This window comes from Homo sapiens, chromosome 7, assembly GCF_000001405.40.
Source record: "Homo sapiens chromosome 7, GRCh38.p14 Primary Assembly".
Taxonomy (NCBI): domain Eukaryota; kingdom Metazoa; phylum Chordata; class Mammalia; order Primates; family Hominidae; genus Homo; species Homo sapiens.
This window is the reverse complement of record NC_000007.14, coordinates 17,075,938-17,100,810: the sequence shown is the minus strand read 5'-3', so window position 1 is coordinate 17,100,810 and position 24,873 is coordinate 17,075,938. Positions and strand designations below refer to the sequence as shown.

General features: G+C 35.9%; 2 long non-coding RNA genes across 2 annotated transcripts in view, besides 2 other annotated features; one reads left to right on the top strand and one right to left on the bottom strand.

Annotated features, from left to right (window-relative positions):
* LOC107986772 (uncharacterized) overlaps positions 1–1,007 on the bottom strand; it is a 129,008-nt gene extending 128,001 nt beyond the window's left edge. The window contains exon 1 of the long non-coding RNA XR_001745107.2: positions 949–1,007. This is a non-coding gene — a long non-coding RNA (uncharacterized LOC107986772). The remainder of the gene's footprint in view (positions 1–948) is intronic.
* Positions 1,008–1,301: 294 nt separating this feature from the next.
* LOC124901596 (uncharacterized) overlaps positions 1,302–24,873 on the top strand; it is a 33,197-nt gene continuing 9,625 nt past the window's right edge. Inside the window, exon 1 of the long non-coding RNA XR_007060240.1 lies at positions 1,302–1,772. This is a non-coding gene — a long non-coding RNA (uncharacterized LOC124901596). The remainder of the gene's footprint in view (positions 1,773–24,873) is intronic.
* Positions 5,655–5,799: an enhancer, noted in NCBI's record as "145 bp 7:17134708 sequence used in MPRA reporter constructs". NCBI's record gives its function as "activates a minimal TATA-containing promoter with rs117132860 allelic activity by MPRAs in UACC903 melanoma cells {active_cell/tissue: UACC903}" and the evidence as "EXISTENCE:reporter gene assay evidence [ECO:0000049][PMID:36423637]".
* Position 5,727: a transcriptional cis regulatory region, noted in NCBI's record as "rs117132860 or 7:17134708 MPRA-significant variant associated with a GWAS melanoma risk locus at 7p21.1". NCBI's record gives its function as "allelic transcriptional activity by MPRAs in UACC903 melanoma cells {active_cell/tissue: UACC903}" and the evidence as "EXISTENCE:reporter gene assay evidence [ECO:0000049][PMID:36423637]".

Sequence of the window (24,873 nt, the reverse complement as noted above, 5' to 3'; positions counted from 1 at the left end):
GACAAGATTTATAGGCATGAAATAATTATAAAATAATTGTTTTAAGCCTAACGATATTGAATAAAAACGTTCAAAAGGAGAAATCTAGTATGTTTGAAACGTTGGGCATTTAGTGATTGAATGTTTTATACACATATTCTCTCTTACTAATTTTCATAAAATTCTGTGAAATGGATATTACAATCTGTATTTTAAAGAAAATGAAACCTTATCAGGTAGTAGTGAGGAATATACACACGCATAAAATTATTACCATCAATACTCAGTTGTAGCAGCAATAGTACCTTTCCACATACCCAGCCAAGTAAAATGCAGAGTTGTAATTCAAATCCAATTTGTTCATCTCCACATTATACCTGTGCTCTTTCTGCTATACCACAATACTGCTTCCTTGTTTCAGAAAAGAAAGATGACCAATATGGGTTGATATATTCATCAGTAGTCTTTGTAAAAGCAGGAAAGAGTAAATGGAATATTAAATTGAACTTTGGACTTTTGAGCACTGCTAAACAGCAAACATCCTTTTGCACCAAAATCAAAGAAAGTAAATAAATAACACCATTACACTGCCAGAATACAGCCAGTCTTCATTTAATTCTTTTTTTTTTTTTTTTTTTTTTTGAGATGGAGTCTGGCTCTGTCGCCCAGGCTGGACTGCAGTGGTGCAATCTCAGCTCACTATAACCTCTGCCTCCCAGGTTCAAGCAATTCTCCTGCCTCAGCCTCCAGAGTAGCTGGGATTACAGGCATGCACAACCACGCCCAGCTAATTTTTGTATTTTTAGTAGAGCTTGGGTTTCACCATGTTGGCCAGGCTGGTCTTGAACTCCTGATCTCAGGTGATCCACCCGCCTTGGCCTTTCAAAGTGCTGGAATTACAAGTGTGAGCCACCGTGCCCGGCCCATTTAATTCTTCAGTAAGACCTACCACACCAAATTTTCACTGACCTTCTAGATGAGGGATTACCTTAGGATTCCCGGAATCTGGGCATGGTGAGATAAAACAGGACAACCACAAGTGTGAGGACACTTCAAAGTGCAGCTTCGAGCAATGAAGGGCAGCTATAAACTCCTGGGAAACAATAGCAGGAGCTGAAGCAGCTTGGCACGCGGGTTGAGTAATGGATAAGGAGGACTTTGGCAAGGTCACTAACAGGTTGTGCAATAAATGACTATAGCTGAAAACTCAGGGAGAGGATTTACATGGGCACAGGTATAAAGGAATGTTCCCGATTCCTTGTTTGGCCTGTTGAGTCACCCACAGAACTTTCCACAAGGCAGTTGCTATCCTGCTGCCCTCTGTTTCAGGCAAAGGCTCAGAAACAAGTGGTAAAATAACAGAATTTTGGAAATCATAAACATTTGCAACTTACAAAAAAACTTTGAGGACGATGATATCTACTTACCGCTTAGCAGATGAGAAAACGGAGACACAGATAAATTAAATGTGTTGCTCTGAGTCCTAAGGCTACTAAGGGGCCACTCAGCCCAAAACTTGGCTTTCAATTCCACTCTGGGACTCTGTACACTGTTCTTGTTGCTATTATACTGCCCAGAGAATGGGATGTTTCTGTTTATTAAATAAAAGTCCTTAAGTATACAAACATAGAAGGACTACATTCCTAATTCGCAAAAAGGGGGAACAAAGTTACATAGAATCCTAAAACTACCCTGAACAAAGCTGAAGTTGCTAGGATCTTACAGAAGATTCATCCAGGTCCAGCCTTCGAGGTGATTACAGGTCTCCAGTAGTCTGTCTACATCTTTCTCAGGTAATGCCTAAAGAAATGAATTATTCTAATATTGCTCTTTGCAAATACTTATCAATTACTTTATCTGCTTCTGAAAGGAAAGTAAAAATGAAATATTTTTCTATATATTTTGTTACCTTCTTCAGGTCTTTGCTTAAATGTCACTTTGCAGTTCACTTCCTTGAACACCTGCTTTATGTATTTATTTAACTTATTTTTATTTTTTTAGAAATAGGCTCTCACTCTGTTACCCAGGCTGGAGTGCAGTGGTACAATCATAGCTCACTGCAGTCTTGAACTTCTGTGCTCCAGTGACCCTCTCCTCTCAGCCTTCCAAAGTGTTGGGATTACAGGCGTGAGCCACCCTGCAGGCCAAACAGCCACTTTAAAATTATAAACCACACCCCACAATCCTTACCCTTCAGGCACTTGCTAGTCCTTCTATCCTGTTTTTTCCCCCTCTAAAGCAATTATTACCATTGAACAAATGGTAATTTACTCTTTGTGATATTAAATAAATTCATCCTTTATGTTTGCTTAAGATTTGAGTTTTAATTCATTTTTTTTTCTTCATGGATGTATGAGAAACTATTCTCTGCCTAAGATGGCATTATTAAACTTTTCAGAAATCATCAAAAATTTCTCAAAGTCTAAGTACATTAAAAATACCCTATTAATTTAGCACTTTCCTTGACAAAATTATTCTTCTTCTTAAGGTCATAAGAGGAAATACTGAACAATGTTGAACAATCCAGATGTAGTCACACTGAGTGAATCTGTACAGAAATCACATTTAAAAACAGTGACAGCAATAACAAGTCCCTGAACACTGTGAGAAGATACCACGCATGCATTCTTGTCCGTATGACCCACATAATCCAGGTCCCATGGCTTGTTTCTCAGTTTCTCTGTCTTCAACCCTGGAACTCTGTGCCAGTTTTGTTATCTAGCTATGTGCTCTCAAAAAAACCTGATTTTCAAAACATCGCAGCTACGAAACACAACTAAACAAAACACTCCTACGAGTGTTTCCTCCTGCCAGACTCTGAATCATTTAATATACATGAATTGAAAACACAGACCTGGGAGCTGAGGATATTTTAATGTCAACAGGTGAAGGTGGTGGGCTTGTGGTGGGGGTCTCTCCCACATCCTGTCTCCTCCCAGACCTTCATTTGTTTAAATACTGGTTGAGACCAATCATGCATCACAGTGTTGGTATTGCCTTATTCCCACAGGGCTTTTGGTTGAAAGCAATGCAGAAATGCAGCAGGCAGGTTTCTTCGGGGCTTCTTGGAGATTATCTGTCTGCCTGTCCGTCTTTCTGTCTATCTATCTATCTATCTATCTATCTATCTATCTATCTATCTATGCACACATATATATGGAGTTCCTGCAAACTTAGTTCATTCTCAGAGAAAAATCTAGCTAATATGAGTTACCTTTAATATTGGTTCCAGAAATAAAAATGTATTTCCCCTGATTCTAATAATTTGGAGAGTTCACTGGAAATTTGGCTGGGGAGAATTCTATCTTCATCAGAAACCTGAAATCAAGAAATTGACTCACTCTGTAATTGTTTAATTAATCATACTTTTACTATTATTCTTCTCAGAAGGCATTTCAAATGAAAAATAATTATGTGTAAAAGTCTTCACAAATGGCTGAACACAAACCCTATGCTGCTAGAAAAATATTGATGAAAAATGTGGAAGTTTTAAGATATTTCTGTAAGACCAAAGATTATATATGAATCATTGAATAGAAATATAATTATAATCCATCCCCCAAAACAGACATTTTAATTTAAATTTTAGTTTTCATGAAGTGGGGATTTGATCTGAAAAAAAAAAAAAAAGAGCTTTGGTGACATGGAGCAGCTGTCACTTAGGATACCAGGAGGGGAAGGAGTCCCTCTCTGCCCATTTGCCTGATCCTAGATAATTGCTGAATGTCAGAGATTGCAGTGTGGCCACGAAAAACAGCTTCTTTTGTGGACCAGTTTTACTTCACATTCTGGGTCTCTGGACTTCAGTGGCAATGGGAGATTCTGTTGGGGAGCTTGGATGGCACCAGGGCTACAGAACCACTAACATGACTAGAGCTACACAAGGGTTATTAGATGAGATGTGCTTCATTGTGATGTCTTTTGTTAACAGTAGTACAACTCAATAACAAAACAAAACAAAACAACGAAACAAACAAGGGATTCCTTTCAATGTGAGAGTGGTTTTCCCATTCTTCCTTGTCATGGTAACCAAGAGATACTGTTAAGAGTGAACAAGCATCCTTTGGAGGATATTATCATAAAATGTGAAATGAGGGTCTCATATCATTTATTTTGATTATCCAATCCTATTTGGTGGATGAAAAATTACAGAATGGGGAAAGGAAGGGAAGCCGATTTCTTTAGCCTCCTGAATTCTTCAGTTAAAGCAGGTGCAAAGAAAAGGTGTGTTTTGTTACTCAACACTTCTATCCACTCAAGAGCCCATGAGAGAATTGAAATCCCTGCTTACCTTCCTGACACACAGAAGCTTAAAGCAAGTTGCAAGGCTTTGCCACATAGTAATCTGTGCAAATCAGAAAGATTAGCTCATGTAAGACTTCTAACAAGAAAAGGCAGCTACAGCTTTTTTTTCTTTTTTTCCAAATTGAAAAAACTATTAAGGATGATATTTAGAAAGATAATTGCTTCTATTTCCCATTTAGATGTTTGCTTCCAAAACCCCTTCAAATACATCTCTTATTTTACATCTAGTATGGAGTGGTTGGGTACTTTACATATTGATTAGCATGTTTCCAGTGCAGTGTTTTCTTAAAACACATTACAATCCTGTCCTTGATGCCCAGAGCTGGTGAGGAAAGCTGGATGGAGATCTACTGCTGCCAAGAGCACCGCACATTGATGGCTCTTGGAAATAGCAGGCACATGCCCACAGCCACCACTTCCTCCCAACCCACAAATGAATGCTTTATATATTAGGGAATTTCAGAATTCTTATTTCTGGCTTCACTTGAAATGATATGAAGACTCAGCAACACTAAGCTTGCGTTCATCTTTGATGACAATGAACTAGAGCTGATTAGTGGCTGCCTCAGTGGCTACTGTCATCACCCTTCACCCTGTCTAGCACTGTAAGAATTTTAATTTGCAAAACAAAGCCTTGGCATATCACAAGTAATATATGTCACAATAGATTTCCTCTTAGGTTCTAACTCTATGGAATCTACCTCTGAGTGAATATTAAGTCAGTCTTTCATCAAGAAGTATTTGTTGAATGAATATGTTATTGCCCTTGATTTACCTATGAAAACATTTTGTGGTGCTTCTGCTTGATCCAAAACATGAAGCAAGTACACTGTAAACCTTAAAAAATAAAGTTCTTGCCTGAGCCTTCCTAGCAATTACAGTATGAACCTCATTAGTTATTTCATTATCATAAATTCTCATTTTTTGTCCTCTTTCCTGTATATTGATCATGTCTACCCAATGAAACTGTAGCTCATCAAAGATCAGGATGTTTGTCTTACATCTTCATGATCCTCCACGGTGGTTTGCACATGGCAATCATGGGATAAATGCATATGCATTTATTTAAAAGCTTATGTGAAGCAGAAACATCCCAATATCGTCCAACTGTAATGACGGTGCATTGTCTGAGACCATCCTCCTCTGCCTTCTCTTCCTTTATAGGAATAATCCAGGGCTGAATCACACAAAGCAATGCCAACCAGTTTTTCTAGATGTGTCTTCTATTGGCTTTTTTCCCTCAAATCACAAGCAAGGCTCCTTTGAAGCAGGCCCTGCCAGAGGCATGATAATGATCAGGCTGAGATTATAATGAGCATGCAGCGTTGGAACACAGCACTGGTTACTGGCACTTACATGTTCACACCAGGCTCTGCCAAACCACATGTGCTCCAATACAAGGAGCTTCCTCTCAAACACTGGGCAGGCTCACAGGCTGCTCACGCAAGGAGATGAATCAAGAGCCCTGAAGGCAAGTAATAAACTCCCCTCTTCTTGGCATAGGCCATAGTCTAAAATGGATACAAATTGATTCCACAAACATAGATAATGATCTAAAGTGAATGCACCTAGACTCTCCCCATTGAAAAAGGAGCCATTAATAGATTGAAGTTGACTAGGTAGAAATGGAAATTTTACTCTTGGTTCAATGGGTTTAGGCAGTATGTGGCCATGGTCCCATAAATATAACATGATGACGTGGGCAAGTGGGTTTAAGAAATCTAGCCTTTTTCCTGATACTTTATTTTTGTCTTATCTTGTGCTGGTACAGTACATGGTATATTGCAAGTGCCCAACGACTGCTGTTGGATGGAACTGTCACTTTATTGTTAATAGTTACAATACTTAAATAGAATCTAAATCCTCATACTAAAAAAAAGAATTGTCAGCTTTAGAGAAGGCAAGCGGTTGCTGGTGAAAAATACTATAACTACATTCATACATAATCTAAAACAAGATGATTTTAAAATCAAAATGGTATTGTTTCATCATAAGTAAAAACAGGGAAAAAGATTATATTGATGCTCCCTTTTACTGCCTAGGTCTGTTGGGAGTTTTACTGAGTTTCTCGTGGGATATTAGCAATGCTGTTTGAATATGGTTTAATCACATTAGAGTAACACATGCAGTGATAATTAGTTCAGTAGGTAAGTGATTAATACAATAAGAGAAGAAATATTTATGTGGGCCTGGTTCTCATAATTTCTTTTCCCCTGTATAACCCACCACTGGCAATTCTAGAGTGACTTACATGGAAAAGAAACAAAGTGACAAGACCTCACATGCATTTGTGTCCAGTGAGTTATAAGGCTTGCCATCAGTGTTAATAGTAGGAATACCACAATTTTTTAAAGAACTGGTTTTTGATTTCAGTCTAAATTCTACCTCCTACCATCTCATCTAAATACTGCCCCTGTACCCACCTCATTTATGCTCTGAATTTGCCATATTTTAATATCTCTAATGCACTTACATTTTGAAATAACCATCTGTATAAACATTTTCTGTCATATTTACCACAGAGTAGGTGTTCAATAAATATTTTCCAAAAAATTAACAAATGAGAATTTAATATTTTCAAATAAAGTGACCACGTCAAAAATTAAACACATGTTCTTTATTTCCAAGTACACATTTCTGAGGTATCTTTGAGCGTTAGCCCATCTCTCATTCCATCTGAGCATTACTGTCCCATTTCTCAGCTTGGGGAGAAGGGGTAGGGACGTGGGAGGTTCAGGGATAGGGAAGAGTGGGTCTCAAGAAAGAGATACAGATTTGCTTTTCACTATTTTTTTTTGTAACGAAAAAGCAGAAGTTTGATCATTTGTTTTATAGACCACAGTAAACTCTTGATGAACTCAGCTAAAGACTCATTTTCTTGACTCTCTTGGAGTAGCCAAGCAGAAGTCATTGTGTGTGTCTTCCAGGAAGATGCTTTGCTTTGCAGTGGAATGACAGCTGAGAAAGAAGTCCTTTTACCCTTTCCGTCTCCTTCTTCCTCCTGCAGAGACTACAAATGAAGTGGCTAGAACTCACTGAGGCAGTGTTAAGGATGGAAGCTATACAAAGACAAGGGAGAGGAGAGACAGCCCCCTGGTCCACTGACGGCATCATGGGGCCACCATTCCAGCCCTGGATTGGTACCTCTGAGAATTTTTTCAGAGAGAAAAATACATTGTTTCTGCCATCATTATTTAGTGGGGTTTTTCTAAACTATTTATCCAAATCTTTCCTAATCAATACATTATTTTAAAAATTATGCTAAATAATATCAAAATGATCAACTGAGTCTAAATTGCCATGTTAAAATGGCTGTATCTAAATAGCATACATGTTCTACAAAGCTTTTACCTCCTTCATCATTTTAATGCTTACAACATACCCCATAAATCAATTAAAGAAGATATGGTCATATCCATTTAACAAATGAGAATATAAGACTAAGGAGGTTAGGTCTCTTATCCAAGGTTTCTAGCTGGTAAATCAGAGTGCAAATCATCTGACTCTTAGCCCAGGGCTGTTTCCAGTAGAGGAGGTTTGCCAGTTGCCGAAACGAGTGTCAGTTTCAAGAATTCCTACATACGCATTTTAATGATATTCATTATCTACATCCAGATTTCCTCTTTGAGAATGAAATTTTAAGAGCTTAAGCATGTATAAGGAAGATGACACTAAAATTTCTATTGTCACTAAATGATTTTTTTAAAATATTTCTATAAATTCTGAAATCTCTTCTGTAGAAGATATGTATAAAATAAATACTACAGGCAAGTTAACAATTTTTTTCCACTTCAGGTCCAGTTGGAGCAGAGTTAATGTTGCAGCTGGACACCATGATTCATACCTGTAATCCTAGCGGTTCGGGAGGTTAAGGCAGGTGGATCCTGGAGGCCAGGAGTTCACTACCAGCCTGGGCAACATAGAGAGAACTGTCCCTACAAAAAATGTTCTAAAAAAATTAGCCAGGCGCGGTGGCATACTACTAGGGAGGCTGAGGCAGGAGAATCACTTAAGATCAGGAGGTCGAGGTTGTGGCTGCAGTGAGCTATGATCGCACCACTGCACAGTCTGGTGATAGAGTGAGATTCTGTCTCTTAAAAAATAAAAGACTGTCGGCCAATGTAATTGACAATATGGGCCAAATAACTCAGATGGTAGATTCAAGAATGTACATTAAGACAAGGTGAGCATTCTAGCTGTATACTGCCAATACTTCATACCACAACAAAAGAGTGATACAATATCACCAGCTTTGGAGCCATTTCTATATTTATTGCCAATTAATCAAACAGATTGTCATACAATTGATCCAATACATTTAGGACCATCAGATTACATAATATTTATCAACTGGAGACACCTAATGACTCAAGGTGTATTAATACTACAAAATCCATTTTGTTGAAGAAAGATTTTTTCATATAAAAAGAAATTTCCTATAGATAAACCACAGATATTACATAAAATGAAAATTTCCTTATGTACATTAACATGTCCACTACTGCATGGATCACTAAATTTAAAATACTAAATTAAGAGGACAAGTTTCTAACCTGTGTAAAGCTGGGTTTTGAGGACTCACTTATGTTCCTACACTTTAGGTGGGTGACCTCATAGAAAAGAAAATTTATTTTTGTAACTCAAGAGATTTTTGAGCATGTTGGCCACTAACTTTCTAAGTCTCTTGACTGTGTACATTTTGAAACAAGATCGTTATTTTTCTGGACATAAAATAAATGGTAAGCAGAGATGATGGTCAATATTACACCAACACCAATGTTTTATATCAAAGATAATTTTTTAAAATGTACATATCCTTATCTATAGGGAATATAGAATATCATTATTTTGGATTTCATCTCATTTTAGAAATAACCTAGTAATGAAAAAGAGGAATAATTTTGTAGGGTCTGCCTAATCTTATCAGTACTGAAAGTATAAATATCGGATGATTTCTTGGACATAGCTCTCTAGGATGTTTCTAGACTTAGGCATACTTCCTGAGTCTAGACAAACTCCGAATATGCTCTGGGAACTTTCCTGACTGTTCTAAGATCTGGTTTCTACCTGCTGCAGTCCCTATACCTGATACCTACACTTCTTGTTATAATGACACATTTAATGTTTCTGGGCTGTTCCAGATTCTGTCCTACATCAGTGTCCTCATTCTTCTTTGTGTGGTTTTGGTATTATCTCATATGGCCTCTCAGGGAATCATATAATAATACATAACTAAAAAACTGACTTCTTCTTGCCTACAATATATATTTTTACAACCTAGACATTTGAGTAATATTTACCTTATGGATTTCAAGACATAAGATTTGCTCCCATGCTTTGAAAGAACTGCCAAAAACTCAGCTAAGCCTCTCTCATTACCACTTACTGTTCACCAAAAGAGACTAACGGTCCAAACAGAGTGTTCTTTCATTAGGTCTTTTTATTTTTTGCAAGAAAAATCTTCTCTCAGAGATTCCAGTAGACTTCCCATCATCATCTTACACATACATTCCTAAACAAATCACTAGAAAGAGTTACCATATTTTATTTGGAAGAATCAAGACTCATGACTCATGCCCTAATACTTCCAAGATGCGCAGCCTTTCTTGAAGCCTAGGGCTATTAACTGAAATAGTCAATTATGAAAAAAAGTTAGGGATGATGACTCTTGGTTAGGTGATGGGCAGTGTTTAGACAGCACTCTTCCAGGTATGAAATGATTTATCCTTCATGTTTACAGCTCCACTTTGCTGCCTTTAGTCTTTTAATAAAATAGGTATGTGCCCCTATATATGCGCATGTTTGTGTATATATACATAGATATGTGTATATAAAGATAATATATTTATATTTTCTTTATAAATATCTTCATATATACATATGGGTGTATATATATGCATGTGTGTATATATACACACAAACATGCACACATATGAAACCACATACATATATCTTTATATATACATATGTGTATACATATATATATATATATGCATGTGTGTATATACCTATCTTTCTGCCTATACATAGATATCTTTCTATGTATAGTTAGAAAGACAGGTATATACACACATGCATATATGGGAGGTTCTACCTATACACAGGTAGAAAGATATACATACATATATACACATAACGTACTTGATGACTTTCTACATAGGTAGAAAGATATACATACATATATACACATAAACATTCTATTTATTCACAAATATGTACACATTCCTTGCAACTTATAAAATGCGAATTATAAATATATACATTATTTACCAGGCACACATAAAAATTACACCTTCATATTTTATGATGATGATGCAGATGATGATTGTTTTGTGAGGATGATGTTGAAAAGATCAAAGCATGAATAATATCCATTATGTTAACCACATTTTTAAAATATTCCTTGATTTGGGACTTTGAGCAGATTGCATCTGATTTGGCCTTAAGGGGAGTTACTCCATTGTTCACTCCTGTAAGTTAATTTATTATTGGAATCCTCCAACCCAGTGGGAAAAACATTCAGTGGCTGAGGCATGCTGATTTGCCCCAGAGTGAGAGGCAAAGAGGTCACTGAGCTCCTTAAGAAGGGATAGAAGCTCTGTTTTAGAATTTAGAAACATTTATTTTTAGTTTAGGTTTGCCATACAGAATTTCTCCCAACATCACTAATTAAGGGGCATATTCAAGAGCTCTTATCCTTTAAGGATTACCAGAGGAAGAATAAATGGGAATAGATTTTAAAAAGTCATCAAGTATAATATTTAATAATTTCTGTCCTAAATTTTAGAGGGGGATGCGGAAGGTTTTGGGCTGGTGAAAAACATTTGAATTTGGCAGAAGTGGGAGTGTTGAGAGAAAAAAATAAACAAATTACTGCTTACATAGTGAATCCCTAAAAACAAGTAGGTATGTTTGTAAGGATATTGTTTAAAAATGGGATTTCATTTTTTCCACAAAAAGTTGTAAATTATGGTGAATCCCCAGTTTAGCCCAGTGAATCATAAAAAGAATGCCACTGATGACTGGTTTGTTCAATTCTTGGTATGGGAAAATTTACACTGAGCTGTAATACTTGATGGAAATTCTTCCAGTATGGTGGACTCTGCTGATACTCTGCTGTATTGTAGCAGCAGAAAAAAAGAGCAAGAATTACCCTATTTTTCAAAGATGGTTGCTCCTGGGATGGTGTCAGTACAGTATCTGTTCCTGAGGTGGATGGAAGGTAAAAACTATAGCAACGGCTGGGCGCGGTGGCTCAGGCCTGTAATCCCAGCACTTTGGGAGGCCAAGGTGGGCAGATCACAAGGTCAGAAGATCGAGACCATCTTGGCTAACATGGTGAAACCCCGTCTCTACTAACAATACAAAAAATTAGCTGGGCATGGTGGCGGGCGCCTGTAGTCCCAGCTACTCGGGAGGCTGAGGCAGGAGAATGGCGTGAACCCGGGAGGCAGAGCTTGCAGTGAGCCGAGATGGCGCCACTGGACTCCAGCCTGGGTGGCAGAGCGAGACTCCGTCTCAAAAAAAAAAACTGTAGTAACAGGGAGCACAGCCAGAGAGTCATCCATCATTGTCCCATTGCAGTATGAGCCACTCCTAGGTTAGGGGTCCATTTATTTGGCAGTCAGCCATTTATTAAGTTATGTAATATTTCTTGAATGTCAACCTCAGAGTAAACACTGTGCCAGCCTCTGGGGAAACAAGGAAAAGCAAAAAACAGACATGGTCTCTTCTATCTAGGAGCTTACACACTAATTTGTGATATTGGGATGGGCAAACAGTCAAATAATCACATGTGAATATAATATTGCAATTGGGATAGATGCTAGGAGATACAAGGTCTATTAAACAACAGAATTATACATTTACAGAATTATGCAGGAGACTCTTAACCTGGAAAGCTACAGAAGACTTTCCTGAAAAATAGATTTCTCCTAAAGGGTGTGTTAGAGATAATCAATCAGGAAAGAATTGGGATAAGCCAGTAGAGAGGCGTGAGAGAAGCCAGAGGGGCAAGGGCTGAGAGGCGGAGGGAGTGCTGTTAGAAGTGACCTGAGAGGTGGACTGGGCACCAGACCTAAAGTGCCTTACAGATCACGTTAAACATTTTGGTCTTTAGCCTGAGAGTATTAGAAAATCATTGATTTTTTTAATAGGTAGAGAAACCTGACTTTTGTTGTTGTTGTTGTTAAATATTGATCAGACTATAGAGTTGAGAAAGGAATGAAAGGGAATTAGAGTTGGGAAGCTATTGTGGTAACCAAGAGTAATGGAAATATCTTGGTAAAGAGAAGTGGTTCTCAAACTTCGGTGTGCATCAGAATCACCTGGATGACTTATTAAATCACAGATTGCTGGGTCCCAGCCTCAGAGATTTAAACTCAGTAGGTCTGGAATGAAGAACAAACATTTGTATTTCTAACAAGTTTCCAAGTGATATTAAAATTGCTGGTCTGACAACTGCACTTTGAAGACCACTGGTCAAGAGTAATGATGGTGGAATGGAGGTGAGAGAAGTGGACAGATTATTTGTATATTCTTATTTTCAATGCACAGGAAAGTCTCCTGAGTAAAATGATTTAAAAATTTCCCTTGAATACTTATTTTGTTCTTTGAAACTTTGAGGAATAATGAAATCTAATATAACTTAGCATTTTACAATTTCTGACAACACTGGTCTTGTGGTAGGGTTTTTATAAGATTAAAATGATTAGCTGTGTTTTCTTATTCTAGTCAATATTTTAATCACAAAATAAAAAAAATTTTACTTGAGCTGACTTAGAAATTTGCTAAATTAGCTATAATTTATGTATAGTTTTAAAATAAATATGTTTGCGTAAGACCCACATAATATGTGCTTGGCAGCAATGCTAAGATATCTGTAAAGGACCCATTTTTCCATTTGTTTGTTTGTTTGTTTGTTTGTTTGATACATGGTCTCACTCTGCTATCCAGGCTGGAGTACAATGGCATGAACATGGCTCACTGCAGCCTCCTGGGTACAAGCAATCCTCCTGCCTCAGCCTCCCGAGTAGGTGGGACTAACTACAGGTGTGTGCCACCATACCAGGCTAATTTATTTCAATTTTTTTTTTTTTTTTTGTAGAGACAACTCACTATGTTGCCCAGGCTGGTCTTGAACTCCTGGGCTCAAGTGATCCTTTCACCTGAGCCTCCCAAAGTTCTGGGATTACAGGTGTAAGCCACCATGCCTGGCACCATTTTCTGTTTTTTAAATTTCTTATCTGCCAGAACTAATATGTGTTCCACATGCACGTGCCTAGTGAGCAGTATGTATCCCATGGGCTCACACATAAATTCAGTAGTACCTGGACTGGTCCAGAATCTGTTCAGTGAGATGAATACACTGACCACATATTTGGATGTTGTTGCAATGTCAACTTTCCACAAAAGTTTCTAAATGCATACATTTCATTTCTGTAATTACCTTGTTGTGTATAGGTAGCCTACCATGCATGGCCTGGCAGCACAACCTTACAGGAAATATAATTATATTTTTTCCTGAAAATTATTAGTCAAAAGAGATCTTCAAAATGGGCAAAGTTCCGCTGAATTTCATAAATCAAAGTCAGCTTTACTAGTGTTTATTTTGCAAAAACCAAAATGGTAGCACAAAGCTAGGAATATGATAGATAATCAAGGTTTTGCTTTATTTTACTTGACATAACTTTTAAAGAAAGACCACAAGATTTCAGTAATTAATTTATTTTGCAGTGACTTTGTTTTATCCCAGCAATCTTATAATCTTTAAAAATTTGAATAAAATTTGACCTACGCTATAGGGTTTAATTTTAGGCAAAATTTCTTTGGATTTCTTGATTGTTCTTTCCTAATGTTTTTCTATGTGCTTGAAATCGCTGTCTAGTTAATGCTTAACTCTGTGATATTTTTTGGTGTTTAACGTGTTCAGGAACAAAACAAACGTTCCTGGTATCTGCCTAAGCAGGCTGGAAAACTCTCAGGACACGAGATTTAGTGCTTTACCCTCTAACTCATTTGACTGAAATGTTTTATCATGATATCAATAGTAAGACCCTAGAAGTTTTTTGAACAAATTAAAACATTTTATTTTTTCTAAGTATTGAAGTACTATACCATTCATTTCTATATCAGAATCCTTAAACATCTTGATATATTTATATAAGAGGAAAACAACCTTCCTACTTTTCATAACTCACAATGTCATGGGTATCAGTACTGCATTCTACTTTAGTGTATTTGCTGAGTAGAGAGAATAATTTAGACCTGAAATAAATCATTCATTTGTAGAGATTCATAAGATTTGAACTGCATTTCAGATTAGGCAGTAATTAACTCTCTGATGTGTTAGAAAAATATACCACTGGTTAAATATGCACAACTCCTGGCTCCACCTCTGAGAAGATGAAGTTGATGCACTTGTTCCTGTTTCTCCCACAAATTAAACTAAAACCCTGGACCTTACATGTAAAACAAGCAGCAGATGATTCTAAAACAAGAAAAGAAGGCAGATTGGCTATGAACCCTGGGACCTAAGAAATGATATGATGCTGAGTTCCCTAGATGTTCATTTGGTCTCATATATCCAAGACTTTCAGTTAAAGAAGCTAGCAGGCTGAGCGCAGTGGCTCACACTTGTAATCCCAGTACTTTGGGAGGCCAAGGCAGGTGGATCACCTGAGGTCAGGAGTTCGAGATCAGCCTGGCCAACATGGTGAAACTCCATCTCTACTAAAAATATAAAAATTAGCTGTAATCCCAGCTACTCAGGAGTCTGAGGCAGGAGAACCCACTTGAACCCAGGAGGTGGAGGTTGCAGTGAGCCGAAATCACTCCATTGCACTCCAGCCTGGGTGAGAAGAGTGAAACTCTGTCAAAAAAAAAAAAAGAAGGAAGGAAGGAAGGAAGGAAAGAAAGAGAGAGAGAAAGAAAAGAAAAGAAAAGAAAAGAAAAGAAAAGAAGCTAAGAAGCTGAAATCACTGATAGGCATGGACAAAAAATTAATATATAAGAAATAAAGCCTTTTCTCTGTAGGAAAAGGACCAGGAAAGAGGCAGTCTAAGACCAAATCGAAATAAAGACAAAAACAAATATTTAGACAATGACTATTCCAGCTAAACACCAGAGGCGGGGAGGGAAGAAAAAACCTACAGCTCCACTTATGCTCATTCCCACACCAGCAAATACTGAGGGAGGGACCAAAGTGCCTGGGCTTCTACCCATGGTAGGCTATGCTGAGGTGCCTCAACCTCCCTCCACAGAGATGGTGTCAGAGAATGTTAAGTGGAGAGTCAGAACTTTAGCAACCGCCAGCAATAAAGAGGCCATTTCTCCAAATCCAACACTAACAGTTGGAAATTCCAACACTCCTATCTCAACATTGATATTTATAGAACAACTAGACAGAAAATCAGCAAGAGTATAGATTACAACACTGACAACAAAATGAATCTAATAGACATTTATAGAGCACAACTTAACAACAGAAGAATATACATTCTTTTTAAGCACCCATAAAAATTTAGCCAGGTCATAAGAATTGAAACTGTAGAGAGCGTGCTTTCTGATAACAAGGAAATGCACTACTCCTCTACCCACTTCCAGAGAGGTATGAGTAAAAGCCTAGTGGGGAGCCAGCAATTCCACTCTGACCCAGGAGTAACATGGATCCTTCACTCCTCAGGTATCAATGGAGGCTGAGGGGGACACCTGCACTTCTCCCCCAACTGGACAGTGATGAGGTACCCCCATCTTTGTCTTACTGAGGTGGGGTTACAGTAAATAAGCTAAAACAGAAGGTTTAAGTGAGTTCCAGACTCTTATAACATGATATTCCAAATATTCAGGTCTCAATAGAAAATCATTAATCATCCCACAAAGAACAAGGAAGATCTCAAACTGAAGGAAAAAAGACAATCAATAAATGGCAACATCTAAATGACAGATATTAAAATTAGCTGACAAAGATGATAAGGAGGCCATCATAAAATGCTTCAATAAGCAATTACAAACACATTTGAGAGAAACAGAAAAACAGAAAGTCTCTGAAATAGAAAATCTCAGCCACAAAATAAAAGATGCAAAGGAGAACCAAATGAAAATTTTAGAACTCAGAAAATACAGTAACTGAAATTATTAATTATTATTTTAAAAACTCAGTGAAAGTGCTCAACAGCAAAATGGAGGAGCTACAGGAAAGAATATGTGAATTGAAAGATGGAACAATAGAAATTATGCAATTTCAGCAACGGACAGGAGGACAGGAAATAGACTGAAAAAAAAAATGAACAGAGCCTCAAGGACCTGGAGGACTATAACAAACAAACAAAAAAAACAAACATTTCTGCCATTGGAGTCCTTGAAATAAATGAGAAAAAAAAAGAGGAACTGAAGAATTGATCAAAGTAATATAAAATCAAATAATCAAAGTGAAAAACTTTCCAATTTGGTGAAAGACATAAACATACAGATTGAAGCTGAGTGAATAAAAAACACAATAAATCTACAGAAATGTAAAATAAGACACAGCATAGTCAAACTTTAGAAAACTAAAGAGAAAGAAACACTTTTATGGAAACAAGAGAGAAATAACACGTTACCTATACGGGAAAATATTTGAATAAGAGCAAATTTCTCAGCAGAAACCATAAAGCCAGGAGGAAGTATCGGTACCATTTTCAAGTGCTGAAAGGAAAAAAAAAAAACTATCAACCTAGGATCCTATATTTAATTAGTAAAAATACATATCAGGAATGAAAGGAAAATCACCATATTCTGAAATGAAGAAAAACGAAGAGAATTTGTTGCTGAAAATCCACTCTACAAGAATGGCTAAATAAATTTCTCTAAACAGGAATAAAATAAAATAGAATAAACTAGAATCTCAGAACACCAGGAAGGAAGACAGAACACAGTGAGAAACAATACACATAAAACATAGGTAAAACATTAAACTATGTTTGATGATTGAAGCAATTAAAAAATATATAGCAATGTTTGACATGGTTCAATATGTATGTAGAGAAAATATTTAAGACAATTATAAATGGGGGAAGGTAAATGAATATAAAGTGAATTAAGTCTTCTGAACTTCACTCAAACTGGTAAAATCATACTACCATTAGACTGTGGTAAGTTTTGTGTGTATAATGTAACACCTAGAGCAACCACCAAAAAATTATACAATGAAATAAACTCTAGAAACAATACAGATAAGTCAGAATGTAACATTTTTAAAAAGTTTGGCCAGGCATGGTGGCTCACACCTGTAATCCCAGCACTTTGGGAGGCCGAGGCGGGCAGATCACGAGGTCAGGAGTTCGAGACCAGCCTGGCCAACGCAGTGAAACCCCGTCTCTACTAAACATGCAAAACATTAGCTGGGCGTGGTGGCCGGCGCCTGTAGTCCCAGCTACTCGGGAGGCTGAGGCAGGAGAATGGCGTGAACCCGGGAGGCGGAGCTTGCAGTGAGCCGAGATCAGGCCACTGCACTCCAGCCTGGGCGACAGAGGGAGACTCTGTCTCAAAAAAAAAAAAAAAAAAAAAAAAGTTTAAGAGCCCAGTACAGTGGCTTATGCCTATAATCCCAGATACTGAGGAGGCTAAGGTGGGAAGATCACTTGAAGCCAGGAGTTTAAGGTGAGCCTGTTCAACCTTGAACGACCCCATCTCTCAAAAAATTTTAAAAAGTTAGCCAGGAGTAGTGGCGCAGCACAGCCACTCAGGAGGCTTAGGTTGGGAGGGTAGCTTGAGCCCAGGAGTTCAAGGTTACAAAAAGCTATGATCATGCCACTGGGAAGACAAAGATTGGCAAAGCAGATTTTAAAATACCACCCAAATATAGTTTCTACAAGAATCTTACTTCAAATATTAATAAAACAATGCAAGCTGATTAAAGTAAAAAGATAAAGAAGATATATTATGGAAATATTAATAAAAAGACAGTGGCAATAGCTTCTATTATAGTATCAGATTAAATAGAACAGAGAAAACAAAAGAATTAGAGTAAGACACCATATAATGACAAAAGGGTCAATCTACCAAGAAGACATAGCAATTATAAAAGTATACGTATCAAACAACCAAGATGCAAAAGATGTGAAATGAAAAGCAATATCACTAAAAGGAAAACTATACAACTCCACGACTAAAGTTGGAAATTTCAACACCCCTATCCAACAACTGATAGAACAACTAGACAGAAAATCAACAAGATTATAGAAGATTAAAACACTCTTAACTAAATGAATCTAATAGACTTTTATAGGACACAACAACAGAAGAATATACATTCTTTTTAAGCACCCATAAAATGTATGCCATGAAAGACCATATACTGGGCCATATGAATTGAAACCATGAAGAGTATGTTTTCTGATAACAAGGAAATCAAACTATAAATCAATAATAGAAAGAAAGAAAAATCCTCAAAGACTTGAAAACTGAACAACACAATTCCAAATAACTCATTGGCCAAAAAAGAAGATTTAAGAAAAATCCGAGAAATATATTCAACTGAATGAAAATAAAAACACACCATACCGAAATTTTGAGGACAAATGTAGGCAGGACTAAGAGGGAAATTTATAGCACCAGATGTATAGATAGCACTTAGATTAGGGTAGAGACAATGCTTCAAATCAGTAATTCAAGCTTGCTCCTCAAGAATCTATAAAAAGAAGACCAGTGTAAATCTAAATAAAGTAAGCACAAGGAAAGCAATAATAAAGATAAGAGCAGAAAAGCAATGGAAATGAAAACAAAAAAAAAATAGAAACGAAAAGCTGTTTCTTTGAATGATCAATAAGATTGACAAACTTCTGGCAAGACTGACAAAAAAGGAAAAAGATTATTCTAATTGCCAACATCAGGAATAAAACAGATCCTGAAGACATCAAAAAGATAGTAAGTGAATACTACAAACATCTCTGCATAACTAAATTTAATAACTTAGAAGAAATTTTACTATTCCTCAGGAAAAAAAAAAACAGAAAACTACCACAATTTATCCAATATGACATAGAAAATTTGAACAGATATTTAAATATTAAGTAAATTGAATTCATAAGCTAAAAACTCATCTCTATCCCAAATTAATCTCCAAGCCAAATAATTTCTCTGGAGAATTCTACCAAACTTTTAAAGAAAATTTAACACCAATTCTACACAATCTCTTGAAGGGAAGAAAACAGAACACTTCTTAATTCATTGTATGAAGTTAATATTACCTTGATATCAAAACCAAAGACAGTACCAAACAAAACAAAAGAAAGCTTCAGACCAATATCCCTCAAGAATATAGATGCAAAAATCTTTAACAAAATATTAGTAAATAGAATTTATTATACATCATGACCAAGTGGTTTAAGACTACTTTAATATTTGAAAATAAATTAATATAACCCATCAAATGAGCACCCTAAAGAAGAAAGAGCATATGATCATATACTCTATGAAGAAAAAGATTTTTGAAAAATTCAACATGCATTTATAATTTTAAAAACTCTCAGAAAAATAAAAATTGAGAATAACTTTCTCTACTTGATAAACAGCATCTACAAAAATATCACAGCTAAAATTATAAAGAATGAAAGATTGAATGCTTGCTCTGTAAAATCAGGAACAAGGCAACAACATCTATCTGCTGTTACCACTCTTATTCAACATAGTGCTCAAAGTTCTAGCCAGTGCAATAAAACAAGAAAAAGAAATAATGGCATGTAAATTGAGAAAAAAAGGGATAAACTGTGCTGTGTGCAGTTGGCATTATTATTGAAATAGAAAATCCTATGGATCATGCAAAGAAAAAATCTCCTAAAATTAAAAAGTGAGCTCCGCAAGGTCACAAAATACAAGATATACATTTTTAAAAATCAATTGCATTTCTATACACTAACAATAAACACTGGAAACAAAAACACAATTTTATTTATAATCACTTAAGAAAATTAAATAATTCAGTATAATTCTATCAAAACACAGAATTTCCATGCTGAAAAATATAAAATGTTAATAAAAAGTCAAAAACGACTTTGCTCTGTCACCAGGCTAGAGTGCAGTGGTATGATCTTGGCTCACTGCAACCTCCGACTCCCTGGTTCAAGCGATTCTCCTGCCTCAGCCTCCCAAGTACCTGGGATTACAGGCACGTGCCACCACGCCCAGCTAATTTTTGTATTTTTAGTAGAGACAGGGTTTCACCATATTGGCCAGGATGGTCTCCGCCCCCTGACTTCGTGATCTGCCGGCCTCAGCCTCCCAAAGTGCTAGGATTACAGGCGTGAGCCACCGCGGCTGGCCAATATACCCAGCTTTCCATGACAAAGATACAAAAATAATTCAATAGAGGAAAAATAGCCTTCCACAAAATGGTGCTGAAGCAATTGGACGTAAATTGGACAAGCAATTGGACCAATAATGAACTTTGACCTAAACCTTACACTTTATATAGAAATGAACTCGAAAGGAATAACAAAGTTAAATGTAAAATATAAAATTATAAAACTTTTAGGAAAAAAATGTCTTTGGGATATAGGGCTAGAGTTTTTAAACCTGAAGCTATAACCATGACTTATAGAAGAAAAAAATAATAAATTAGACTTTATCAATATTAAAAATGTATTCTTTGCATCATATCCTATTAAGAGAATGAAAAAAAACAAGCTACAGACTGAGAGAAAATATTTGCGAAGCATATATTAGGCAAAAGGATTAGTATCTAGGATAAGTAAAGAACTCTCAAAACGTGACTGGAAAATTTTTTTAAAAAAGATGAACCTAAAGAATTTAATTGTAAAATTGGCAAAGGACATGAACAGTTATTTTATTAAAGTGGATACACAGATAACAAATAAGTACATAAAAATGATAAATATCGCTAGCCATCAGGAAAGTGCAAATTAAAAACACACTGAGATATTACAACACACCTATCAGAATGAATACAATTTTAAAATTATAAAAACACTAAATGCTGGTGAGGATGTGGAGAAACTGAATCATTCATATATTTCTGGTGAGAATATGAAATAGCTCAGTCATTCTAGAAAATACATTTGCAGTTTCTAAAAAAAAAAAAATATATATATATATATGTAACTATCCTATGGCACATCCTATGCACCTCTGAGCACTTATCCCAGAGAAATGAAAATTATGTTCACATAGAAACTTGTACATAAATGTTCATAATAGCATTATTTGTAATAGTTTCAAATGGAAAACAACTCAGATGCCCTTCAATTGGAATGGTTAAACAAACTCTGTGAAATACTACTCTGTAATAGCCAAGAATAAACTGTTAATACATGCAACACCTTGAATAAACCTTCAGAGAATTATGAGTGAAAAAAATCCTAAAAATATACACAGTATATGATTCCACTTATATAACATTACTGAAATAACAAAATTATAGAAATGAATAGATGAATGCAATGAAGAGCAGTGATTTTAATTTTTTTTTGAAAAAGCAAAACTTGCATAGGTTGTTCACAAGATTACTGGCCAGCCATTAAAGGAGGGAGGACAATTAGGAAGTCATTATGACACACTGCATGAGGGATTAAAAGAGTCTAAATCTGGAAGCAGAAATGGGAGAACCTACTATGCCCATATTTCAAAGGAAGATTGACAGCACTTGAAGACAGAAGGATGTAGGAATTTGCTTTTCCTCTCAAATAACAGAAGTTCTCGTTTTTCTTGCTGTTTTTCTGTATCTATTAACATAATCCAAATCAACAAAATAGAAAAAATATTTGCTCTAAAAACAACAGCAAAAGAACAACAACTGTCATGTTTTTAAAATCTCATCTTTATTTGAAATTCTTCCTAAAAAGCATTTAATATAACCTAATAGTAAATCGCTGAATTTCTAATCCTGAATTTGCCGCATGACAGATCAAGAAATTTATCTTCATAAAAACACACTGAATCAGTGATATCAACTCAAGTTTTCTATAAGTCTGAAAAAAATATTATTTTTCTTCTTTTGGCATTGACGGAATGCTTGATCATGAAACGATATCGCCCATGACGTCATCAATAAGCAATATCATGTCAGTGAATAACTGTGTGAACAATTCTTTTCTTTTCAATACTTTGAATTTAGTTTCTAAACAACTGTCAGGCATTGTTCTTTTTTCCTTTTTTTCTCATGCTAGTCTAAGATGTCAGGCATTGTTCTAATAAGAACTGGATCTAACAGACATACTCAAACCAGATTCACTTAAACAGTTGTTAAACAAATGTGATATGAAATATAAATTTGGAAGGGAGCAGAACTATTCATTATAGAGAAGCAGTAGTGAAAATCTATATTGTAACTGGTCTTCAGGAGCTCCATAGCCTTGACAGGTATCACCAAACCTCATTATTTGGGACATGCCAACCTCAGAATTTCTCTTATCTTAAAAAGCTTTGAAATTTAAAGTATAATTCAACATGCTCAGATCTTTTATTTTACTCAGCAAATCCCACAAAAATAGTTATCTGAAGTTTCAACAACACATCAAGATTAGTCCAGTGATTATAATTACTGCCTAATCTATCAAATAGTTTTAAAAGTTCATTTTCTGTCCTCTAGATATATTCATGTGCCATAAGCATAGGTAGATCTGAATTGGAGTACCTTTAATTAAAATATACAACTGTGCTAGTCTTTAAAAAAAATTAAAAAGAATATATTCTAAGTGTACATTATTACAAGATGCAAAGGGATCTCCTTTTAGAAGTATCTTTTATTCTGGGAAATAAATAATCTTTTACAGTGAGAAGGTATAGAGGCTAGCATTGACAAATAATTCTAAAACTACATATAAAATTTATCCTGACCTCTACCCATTTCTGTCCTTCCTTTCCCTCAAGGCAACAGTATTTCATACAAAGCTTAAAATGTCAGGCTTTAAAGTCAAGGAATAAATTTGTGCATTTATGGTGAACATATAGTGTAATTTAGAAATTGAATACTTTTGAGCTCTGAAAAATATGCCCCAAAGAACTGAATCGTCTATTTATATACACTAGTAGGATGCATCATTGCTCATGAGAACACCTTCAATAGAAGTCAGTCATTCAAACTGAATTAGAGATGACAACTATGCTATTTGTTTCCACGAGTAAATTCTAATGTCTGTTTTTACTTCTAAAAACATTGTTCAATCAACCTAACTGTATAAAAACCTTTTTAGAAAGGCCAGTTTATTATACTACAAAAGGCTAGTAAACAGTCTTTGAGTATGTCTGAATATGTCACTATCCAAATCAAGCTACCACTGGCTTAATATAATTGGGGAAATAATAGTATGTCATTATCGTGCCCAAGGGTAAATAAGACTAAACTTCCATGTATTTGCATTGGGTTACTGTTAAAATGCTATAACTTCCTGCTTTCAAGAGAAACTTTAAAAAATTATACTTAAAATATTTGAGCACCTATATAACTGTTAACAAAACAAAACAAAAAACCTTTAATTATAGAAGGCTTAAAAAATGTGTTCAGTTCTGAGCTGCACAATTTACCAGAAAGTTCGAGAATTTGAAGCAAGTTTAGAGAAGAGCCACAAGGATGATTAAAAGATTGAAAAATGGGATCTAATAATAAGAGAAACATTTAGACAAAGGGAAACAAGCAAGGACTTAAACTTCAAATTACTCAAGACAGCTGAGCAGCTGTTATCTATTGCCTTCTATCCAAGTCTTCCATTACTCCACTGTGGCTAGGAATAAGAGCAGCAAACCCTTTGTGTTTTCTGCATTTTCAAAGCAGAGGGTCATCTAAGTGCTGTGGAATATACTGTACAAATGTCACTGTGAGACTCCTGTCACTTAATTTCCTAAATTTTTCTTCTAAACGGTTGTTTCCATGGAGCACTGGATTTTAATCCTGAACTCTAGAGCCCCTATAGAGACAAATGCCAAGTAATTGTCATAATGTGTGGAACGTTTGAGACTTCTTCATTTTCTTACTTGACATACAACAAACTTCAATCATTATTATAGCTTCAATATCTGTCCAAATGAAAACTCATTGTATCACCACCACCATTTTTTATTTCCATGGCTACCCATATTTGTTTCAATTCCTAATAAGCTGTACATTTTATTTATTTTTAATAGACATTCTGTGGTGCTGTCTATGGCTTATAATCTTGAGCCCTATCTTCTGATTTCTTAGGGACACCCAGATATTGTGTCTTGCCTGAAGCGTTCTGAGTAAAACTTAAGTAAGTGTTCAATTAATAAATCAAGTTATAAATTTAGAGAATACGTCTCTTCTACCTAAATTCTGGTATCAAATATCACCTTTTATGAGCTCTCTAGTATAGTTATTCTCTAACTGATAACAAATTTATAAAATTTCACATCATGCACGAATACTAAATTTATCACCACCCTCTTCCCTTTCACAAATTGCTGTTTGGCATCTCTTGTATTTGAAAACTTGGTTTGCCCAGACTCTAGAGGATGGGATTTGGGCCAAAGCTGAAGTACCATCTAAAGATCACATTTTATAAAACACACACACACACACACACACACACAAATTCCAAATTGCTTGCCAAATTTCATTGCTGTTAGCTTCCCACAATA